General features: G+C 46.9%; 1 protein-coding gene across 3 annotated transcripts in view, besides 4 other annotated features; it reads left to right on the forward strand.

Annotated features, from left to right (window-relative positions):
• Positions 1 to 9,139, forward strand: part of GALNT2 (polypeptide N-acetylgalactosaminyltransferase 2) — a 224,334-nt gene that overhangs the window by 190,248 nt on the left and 24,947 nt on the right. For all 3 annotated transcript variants that reach the window (NM_001291866.2, NM_004481.5, XM_017000964.3), the window contains 3 exons: positions 1,148 to 1,235; positions 2,421 to 2,524; positions 7,182 to 7,308. In NM_001291866.2, coding sequence (NP_001278795.1) covers positions 1,148 to 1,235; positions 2,421 to 2,524; positions 7,182 to 7,308 — 319 coding nt within the window. The remainder of the gene's footprint in view (positions 1 to 1,147; positions 1,236 to 2,420; positions 2,525 to 7,181; positions 7,309 to 9,139) is intronic.
• Positions 3,307 to 3,968: an enhancer, noted in NCBI's record as "NANOG-H3K27ac-H3K4me1 hESC enhancer chr1:230387089-230387750 (GRCh37/hg19 assembly coordinates)". NCBI's record gives its function as "activates a minimal SCP1, AML or CMV promoter by ChIP-STARR-seq in naive and primed H9 embryonic stem cells {active_cell/tissue: H9 hESC(naive and primed)}" and the evidence as "EXISTENCE:reporter gene assay evidence [ECO:0000049][PMID:30033119]".
• Positions 3,969 to 4,629: an enhancer, noted in NCBI's record as "NANOG-H3K27ac-H3K4me1 hESC enhancer chr1:230387751-230388411 (GRCh37/hg19 assembly coordinates)". NCBI's record gives its function as "activates a minimal SCP1, AML or CMV promoter by ChIP-STARR-seq in naive H9 embryonic stem cells {active_cell/tissue: H9 hESC(naive)}" and the evidence as "EXISTENCE:reporter gene assay evidence [ECO:0000049][PMID:30033119]".
• Positions 6,738 to 7,238: an enhancer, noted in NCBI's record as "H3K4me1 hESC enhancer chr1:230390520-230391020 (GRCh37/hg19 assembly coordinates)". NCBI's record gives its function as "activates a minimal SCP1, AML or CMV promoter by ChIP-STARR-seq in naive H9 embryonic stem cells {active_cell/tissue: H9 hESC(naive)}" and the evidence as "EXISTENCE:reporter gene assay evidence [ECO:0000049][PMID:30033119]".
• Positions 7,239 to 7,739: an enhancer, noted in NCBI's record as "H3K4me1 hESC enhancer chr1:230391021-230391521 (GRCh37/hg19 assembly coordinates)". NCBI's record gives its function as "activates a minimal SCP1, AML or CMV promoter by ChIP-STARR-seq in naive H9 embryonic stem cells {active_cell/tissue: H9 hESC(naive)}" and the evidence as "EXISTENCE:reporter gene assay evidence [ECO:0000049][PMID:30033119]".

Genomic DNA, 9,139 nt, shown 5'->3' on the forward strand with positions numbered 1-9,139 from the left:
TTCTGTCCCCACTGCCTGGGCCCCTGTCCATTTCCCTCTCTCTTTGCCTGAGGCCACTCTATCCTGCAGTGAGGGAGCTGGGAGGCCTCTTTGTCCAGAGCCATAAATTCTTGGCCAGCCCAGGACACTCAGAAACCCTCACCCGCCATCCTTCAGTCACTGGGGCTGTCAGGGCGGACAGACTATGAATTCAAAGCATGCAGACAAATCCAAACTTAGGCATTGCAAAAGCCCTGTTGACAAAAAGCCTGATGGCAGAGAGCTTAAGAGGATTGAAAGATGCATGCCCTAGAGTCATTAGGTTTTGCTGTCAGACCCTTGGAATTGGAAATGCAGCACCATGAGCCATGTGTTTGCCAAGAAGTGGCCTCCTGATGCACCAGGACAGCTTCCGCAGGTGGAGCCTGCTGGCCTCCAAGAGGCACTATGTGTGTGACCCTGGGAGCAAGAGCGAGACCTGAGGCCCTGCAGATGCCCACAACCAAGTCCGGGTACAGGGTCTAGGCTCTTCTATCCTCAGGGGTCTGTGGATTCCAAAAATGAAATGCAACAGGTGCCAAATATATCTGAAATTGAAGCTTATTTGCCCAGCTTGGCAACTTCCGCTGGCTCATTTTCCCTTAAAGTTTTCATATTCCCAGCATGTTCCCACTCCATTCTTGCTGCAAATACAGTCTGAAGTTTGCTGGCCCAGGGAACTGACAAAGCCTCGTTCCCTCCCCAGCATTGCCTTCCCCTGGGGCAGTGTTGGAGGTACCACGGCTTGATTTTCATGTTGGATGCTCTTTTTCCTCACATCCTTACAGCCCTTGGACATGCCCTGGTTATCACCACACAGACCCCAGTTCTCTCCCCATATTTCATTTTTTCCTATGCATTTCAATATTAGAAAAGCCTGACTCACATTTTCTTTAGGGAGGGGCAGGGAGAAGATTTCAACATTCACCCTCACTGCCGGTCTCTCTCTTCAGCTACACCCACGCCCCCAGTCCCCTTCTCTCTCCTCCACACCTTCTTTTTTGGCTTTGTTTTGGTTTTCATTGAGTTCTGTCCAAACATCGAATATTTTTAAGCTGTGAGGAATGGGGGTGTCGGGAGGAAGTGGCCAGTCTCTTGTCAACACCCTGTTTCTTTTCCTGGCTGGCAGGTTTTGATTGGAACTTGGTATTCAAGTGGGATTACATGACGCCTGAGCAGAGAAGGTCCCGGCAGGGGAACCCAGTCGCCCCTATAAAGTAAGTGCCAGCATCCTTCAGGGTGCCCCTCCCAGATGAGACCCCAGGTTCCAGCTTCTTTGCTGGGCCCGCACCGCCTGGAGACCCAGTGGGGGCTGTTCACCTTCTGCCCTCCGGTTTCCCCTCGTCTCAGCTCAAAGATGAGCACCTTCCACCAGGTCATAGAATAAAATCCTTGGAGATTTCTTTTCCACAGTTGAAGTCTCACATAGGTTTATAAGGCCTATCTGCTAGGTCTGTGCATTCCTGTATGTTGATAATGTAGAGCGTTTCTGTAGCAGAGCAGGATCTCCGAGCTGACCCCAGGCCCAGGAAAAGGGGCTTGGTGGGCAGCAGGAGGCTTACTGCTGCTACTGCCCAGCAGGCCTTTGCTCTCCTGCAGAGGAAGGAGCCCATGCTCATGAAGCCCATGCTTTTAAGATTCCCAGGCCGGGCGGTGGGCTTTCTGGTTGAGAGTCAGGATGCCTTCTCTAGCTGGGGAGAGAAGGGGGCCACCTCTTCCAAGTTGGCACACGGTTAAGTGAGATAGCATTCACAGAGTACTTAGCGCTGAAATATATTTGCTGACATTTAGCCAACATCTGCAGTGTGCCATAGACCTTCCCAGCACTTTACACTGAATTCGCACAGCATCGCTTCTGGGAACAAAGTAGGGAGCTCAGTGTACATCTGTTGTCAACCCCTTCCTGGGATGATGAAGTGAGGAGCATGGTGGGTTCCCTTGTAGGAGGTGGAGTCTCATCTATGATAGTGATAATGAGAGCTGGTGCTGTGGAGCATTTCCTAAGCGTGCTCAGGGCTTTATGCCCATGATTTTTTGCAATCCTCGTAGCTACCCTATAAGGAAACTGACACACAGAAAGGCCGAGTTCTTTGCCTATGGCAGCATGTCAGTGAGTAGTGATCCAGCCCCAGCAGTCGCTCCCACATAGGGGAGGCTCAGTCCAGCCCCTGGCACTGTGGGAACATCCAGGCAGGGACAGTGGGGGAGGCATTTGAAGGCAGCAGTGGTGAAGCAGAGAGAGTGGCATGCTGGGCACTGAGCAGAAAACAGTGGCAGTGTGGCTGTTCTGAAGATCAGCTTATTGTTAGGGAATCAAGGCTTGGCCTTGGCGCAAGGGTGCTGGCAATCTAACCTTGACTTTGCCCTCTCCTCCCTCCCCCCTCTTCTTTCTGCCTCTTTAGAACCCCCATGATTGCTGGTGGGCTGTTTGTGATGGATAAGTTCTATTTTGAAGAACTGGGGAAGTACGACATGATGATGGATGTGTGGGGAGGAGAGAACCTAGGTATGTACAAGCCTCAAATCTCAGGACAGAGAAGTGCCTCAGCTCTGCAAAAGGCAGGGTGCCAATTGGAAAAAAAATTTAAAAGGCTTCAGAGTGACCATTCACTGGGCTTAATCGATCCTTGCAAACACATATGTAACACCCCTTTTGCTCTTGAAAGTCTCATGAGTTGGGCATTAAAATGTGCCTCCCTAGGTTAGAGTGGAGGATGCCAGAATACGGATAAAGTCTTTGAAGGGAAATGCAAACTCTTTCAAGGCGTCTGAACCCAAGTGTTTGGAATGTTGCAGGCTTGCAAAAACAGAGGGAAACAGTCCAGGAGCTCAGATTCATGCTGAGTGGTGGAGAGTGGAAAATGAACCCCGGCGAGGCTGGTGGGATTGATTGAATTGAAATCATGAAAATCCGATGGGGCAGGGAGGCCTTGGCACTTAATCCCTTCTCGACTACCTTTGCGAATGGTTCTCATTTGTTTTTCTGTTTGTTTGTTTTTTTGTTTTTAAATACCCCATGCAAATTATTTTTACCCAGGTTTAGGCACAGCAAAATTTTGCACATTGTGGTCTATATTGGTAGCCTTATATTTACTGCATAAAAGATGAAAAGATGTGTTTTGTTTGTTTAGGGTTTGGAGTGGGGGAGATCTTTTTTGCTTGTTTCAATTAAAGCCTTTTGTTTCAAATGCTTGACATTCTGAGCGAATTCTCCTGGGCTGCTGAGTGTTGTTAACTTACATTCGTCCTTGGGTGAGTGTACCCTGGAGGACAGGGGAGAAGGAAAGGGGAAAATGAGGCCACTCATTTTTAATAGTTTTGAGACTTTGAAAGTTTTTGTTACTTTAAAAGAAAAGACTAGCCTAGCCTATTATTTTTCCATTGTTTTATGATGTTGAAGTCAGTGATACCATCTCATCTTTGAGGATTTCTCTGCCTTGGTTTGATGTTGAAAGCTTCTTTAGGCTCGATTACTATACTGCACGGGTGGAGAGACCGTGAGTCAAACTCCTTTTGGGTTGTTTTAAAAAAATGATACATTAACCTCTAGGGAAAGCTTGGATTGAAGTCACTTGAGTACAAAAGGCTTCAGAATTGTTAACCCTCTAAAGAGAGTTCTGTCACCCTGTTCCATGGGTATCCCCTAATGGTTTAGTGGAAATCCAGCAGGCCAGGGTCGCCCAGTAGGGCAGCGTATCGTGTAGGTGGCCATTTCTCAAAAACAGTGTGGTTTTCAGAAGTTTGCATACTATTAGCTGAAATGAGACATCAGCCAGCATTTTGTGTCATCGTGTAGGAAGAGTGTTGATTTACATATCTAAGGAGGCATTCACCCAGAGACTGGGGGGTAGATTTGTTGTAAGGAGCTGCTTTATTGTGGTTTGGTGTTTGTATTTATTATGTAGCTGTGCTAGAAGGTTCTAGGGTCTGAGCGGTTCAGGTTGGGGTGAAGATGAACCCTGCAAGCAGGAGCACATCTCTGCCCAGGAAGGCTGGGGCATCTGTCCCTCCGTGAGGGGCTCTCCTGGGTTATGCCAAGGACTTGGACTCCCAGTGAGGTTTGGAGGGCTCAAGAGCTTCACGTGAGAAGGCCATGCCGTGAGCCTTTCTCCTTAGCACTGCTCTAGCTTCTGCTTCTGGGGGCCGTGCACACTACTAGCCATTGCCAACCTGAGGGGCCTCTGTGGGTGTGCATTGGGAGAGGTGTATGGTGCAGAGAGGCCCGAGTAAGATCCAAAACCACCTCCTCAACGTGTGCCCCGCTGGAATGACCAGAGCTTCCCATTTTCCTAATCATGTAAGTCCTTATGTCATTTAAGCAATTAAAATGGAGGACCAAGAACCTAACCCTTAACTCTAACAATGGGGGTAAGGCTCCTTGGGGGCATCATCTGTGTTTCTCTACATCCCTGTCATGCAAGGATGATGCTAAGTACTTCCAGGGAATCATCTGTTTGTGCTTTCTTAACGGAGTGTGGTCTGCAGAGGTCATGACACCTTGCCCAGGGTCTCAGAACCAAGATGTAAACACTAACTGCCTAATTAAAAAGCCATTGAGTTTTACTGAGTAATTATCCTCAAAGTTATAGGGTTCAAATGAAATCAACGCTGAAGATACTGTAGTTATACTTAGCCTTGAAAATCTCCCACAAAAGCCCTGGAAGGATCCCTTGTTGGCTTAACAGATTCCCCATAGAGAAGCCAAGGGGATTTCCTAGCCCCTAATTCTAAATCTTGTGGTGAGGCAAATGGATATTTAAATTTTATTTTCTGAAATAGAGACAACTTCTTTTTTTTTTTTTTTTTTTTTTGAGATGGAGTCTCGCTCTGTCACCAGGCTGGAGTCCAGTGGCACATTCTTGGCTCACCGCAACGTTCGCCTCCCGGGTTCAAGTGATTCTCCTGCCTCAGCCTCCCAAGTAACTGGGATTACAGGCATGTGCCACCGTGCCCGGCTAATTTTTTGTATTTTTAGTAGAGACAGGGTTTCTCCATGTTGGTCAGGCTGGTCTCAAACTCCCAACCTCAGGTGATCCGCCTGCCTCGGCCTCCCAAAGTGTTGGGATTACAGGCATGAGCCACTGCGCCCAGCCGACAACTTCTTAGGTTGTGTTGGGAACTGTAAAAAGTAAAGTCGGAAACTTTCACTGCTTATGCTTATGTGATTGTAACCATACATTTTCTATTAGTACAAGAGAGTTGCTTATTAAAGCCCCGTAACAGCTGCATGGATCACCCATTCCTAGTGAGTGAGGCATTAGTTTGCTGGACCCAAGTAGAAACTCATGGTGTTCTGACCCCTGTGTTGTATTTCCTGCCATGTGCCTGGCATTCTGGGCACCTGTTGCCATAACTAGGTTGACTGCCTGCAGGATTTGCCATCAACTCACTGTATGGTCTGTGATGGACCCACCCTATTTCTGATCAATCTGCATTGGTGACAGTGACTGCACACTCTGTAGATACTATATGTGTATATTTTTACTTCTTTTAATTTGTTAATTGACAGATAATAATTGTGCATATTCATGGGATACATAGTGATGTTTTTAATACATATAATGTATGGTGATCAGATCAAGGAAATTAGCATATCCATCATCTCAAACATGTAGCATGTTTTTGTGTTGGGAACATTCAGTATCCTCCTCCTGGTTATTTGAAACTCTGTATATATTATGGGTCCCTAGAGTCACCCTACCGGGCTGTAGAACACAAGCAAGATCCCTCTTCTCTAGCTATAATTTTGTATCCTTGAAAAAATCCCTACTCCTTCCTTCCCAGCCTTTACTATCCTCCGTTATACTTTTTACTTCTATGAGATCAGTGTTTTTTAGCTTCCATGTATGGGTGAAAACATGGTATTCAACTTTCTGTTCTTACTTCACTTAATTTCCTGGGAATACTATCCAGCCAGAAAAAAAAAATGAAGTCCTGTCATTCACAGTAACTGTTGATTTTTGTCCTGCCTCCCTAACATGTTCTTAGGGATCTTAGATAATACAGAGGAAAATTCCCTTTTGTATTATACAAACCTGGTAAAGAAAAACTGTTTTTTGCCTTTCAGAAAATTCTTAGTTTTTTTGTTGAATCTGTTTCTTGCATTCAGTCGGACCCCTGACTCAGACTCCAGTCACTCACCTAGTCAGTGGTGATAAGGGCAGGTACCTGGTTGGAAGGTACCTGTGTGTCACAAAAGGCACACCAGTCAGTCTAAGCTTCGACTGAGTTCCAATGCTCAGGGCAGTCTGTGTGTTTAAGTAGGTGTGGGTAGTGCCTAGACCTACACATCTCATTCCTCCTGCCGGTCAGTTCTGTGTTGAAGCAAGTCAACAGCAGCCTTCCCCAGGGAGCATTCCTACCTGGGCCAGCTGGTTACTGACTGGTCCAAGCCTGTGAGCAGCGTGCAGATATCAATCAGTTACTTGACTGTCCTTGGTCACTACCATAGTCCATAAGGCAGTCCCTAAGTCCATAGTCCGTAAGTCCAAACTCTGCCTGGAGACTTGAGCCTGCTAATACACAGGGACTTGTATTTAATAAACTTTTCCATTTGAGGGAAGGGATTATTTTTCCCTGGATGAGAAAAGCCAAGATGCATCCTGGGGTTCAGTCTGTTAAAAATAAGTTTTAGAGAAAGATGGCATATATGGTTGTCTAGAATATGTAACAATAAAGCTTAATTGTACATATTTATATACCTTCAGTGTTGCCTTTTCCCACGGTGTTGATACGAAGCAAGTGCAAATGATCGTGAGCCAGCTAGTGAAGAATTCAGCACAAGTGTTTTGTCACTCAGTAGTTACGATGATACTGGGGTATACATGATCTTATGCCAAGAGGCCTTTATATTTACAGTAGACCAAGAAGCATTCTTGTCTCAAGGTGTCTACTCCACATCTGAAAAATATTTCCCCGTGAACATTTTTTCTTGATTGTATTGTGGTCCAGAGATCCAAGTGTGTCAAATGTCTCTCCTTTAGAGAGTTCTGCATCAGGTTCTGGAAGGAGGAAGGTCCTTATCAGATCTCCTTCAGCAGCAGAGGGCATGGGAGCCCCATGATGGGATGGTCAGGGGGCCTCTGTACCTGCTTGGTGTGTCTGCTGTTGCAGAGGTGCGTCCCAGGCTCTGTCAGTCACCTGTGTCTTGTTCATCGTCTCAGAGATCTCGTTCCGCGTGTGGCAGTGTGGTGGCAGCCTGGAGATCATCCCGTGCAGCCGTGTGGGACACGTGTTCCGGAAGCAGCACCCCTACACGTTCCCGGGTGGCAGTGGCACTGTCTTTGCCCGGTAAGTAGTGAAAGGCTGAGCGGGGTCCAAAACATTGATGACTACCCTGAAAGCAGGACCTGACCTTGGGCTGTTTGAGGACAGATGTCCTTCAGTGGGTGTGGTGCATTTATACAATGGAATACCACTTAGCAATTGAAAGGCGCATTCCACGGATGCAGGATACAACCTGGGCGCCTTTCCAGGGCATGATGCTGAGTGAGAGAAGCAGTTACATACATGATTCCACTCATGTCACAGCCTCATAAAAACACAGCTTTAGGGATGGGGCCAGACCAGTGGTGGCCAGGAGCTGTGATGGCAGGAAAGCGGGGAGTGTGACTGCAGAGGGGCAGCACCAGGGATGTTTGGAGGAGGGACGGAGCTGTTCTGTCTCCTGGTTGTGGTGGTAGTTGGACAAATCTTCATGAGTGTGAAGGCTCTTAGAACTGTACACCACCCCCCAAAATGTTATGGGAAAATTTTTTAAAGAAGAAAGTTCATTTTATAACCATTCAAGGTGCAATTAAAAGCAACATTGTCTTAGTCCATTTTATGCGTCTCTAACCAAATACCACAGACTGGGTAATTTAAAATGAACAGAAATTTATCTACTCATAGTTCTGGAGGCTGAGAAGTCCAAGATCAAGGTGCTGGTGTCTGGCGAGGGTCTTCTTGATGTGTCATCACATGGTGGGAGGGCAAAGAGAGGGCAGGAAAGAGCAAGAGGGGGCCAAATTCTCCCTTTTATAATAGCATCAATCCCCCCCATGAGAGTGGAGCCCTCATGGCATAGTCACTTCTTAAAGGTCACCTCTTAAAGGCCTCACCTCGGCTGGGCATGGTGGCTCATGTCTGTAATCCCAGCGTTGCGGGAGGCCGAGATGGGCAGATCACCTGAGTTTGGGCAGATCAGGAGTTTGAGACCAGCCTGGCCAACATGGAAACCGCATCTCTACTAAAAATACAAAAATTAACCGGGCATAGTGGCAGGCGCCTATAATCCCAGCTACTCGGGAGGCTGAGGCAGGAAAATCGCTTGAACTCGGGAGGTGGAGTTTGCAGTGGGCCAAGATCGTGCCTCTGCACTCCAACCTGGGCAACAGAGCGAGACTCTGTCTCAAAAAAAAAAAAAAAAGCCTCACCTCTTAATACTGTTATAATGGCAATTAAAGTTTAACATGAGTTTTGGAGGGAACAAACATTCAAACCATAGCAAATATTAAAGTCAAGCTGTACTAATTGTGTATACCACAAGACATCGTGACACAGAGTCACGATTCTTGATGGAGAGTAGATATATTTTAGTAAACATGAAGATGCCAACGGAAGGGCTTTCCGAAAGTAAAATAGCAAATAGCCGTTCTATCAAGCCAAGTGTCCTTCTAGGGAATTCTCTTACATGCTAAAGATAGAACAGCGTACAAGCCAGATCTCAGGGAGATTGCCTTCTCTTGAGTGTAGACAGCAAAACACACAGCTAAATAAGGTATTTTCAAATAGTAATCAATGCTGTGAAGAAGGTAAGATGCAGTCATGTGGTCGGGCATGATTAGGACAAGCAGTAGGAGAGGTTTTCATGGTCAAGAGAACCTTTGAGGAGGTGTTATGTGAGTTCAGACTTGAAAGGTGGGAGGAGGTCCCTCTGGGACCCCGAGGAATCAGACTACCTGCAGGAGGAGCAGATCCAGGCTGCTGAGGTGCGTTTGGCATATCAGCCAAATGGAAGCCAAGGGTAGCTGGAACCTAGAGAGTAAGGGGACAGTGCACAGGGGCAGAAGAGCTAGACAGGCCCGGGCCATGCACCTTTGCAGGTCATGGGAAACGTTGGATGTTATTTGATTCTGAAGGA

This window comes from Homo sapiens, chromosome 1, assembly GCF_000001405.40.
Source record: "Homo sapiens chromosome 1, GRCh38.p14 Primary Assembly".
NCBI lineage: Eukaryota > Metazoa > Chordata > Mammalia > Primates > Hominidae > Homo > Homo sapiens.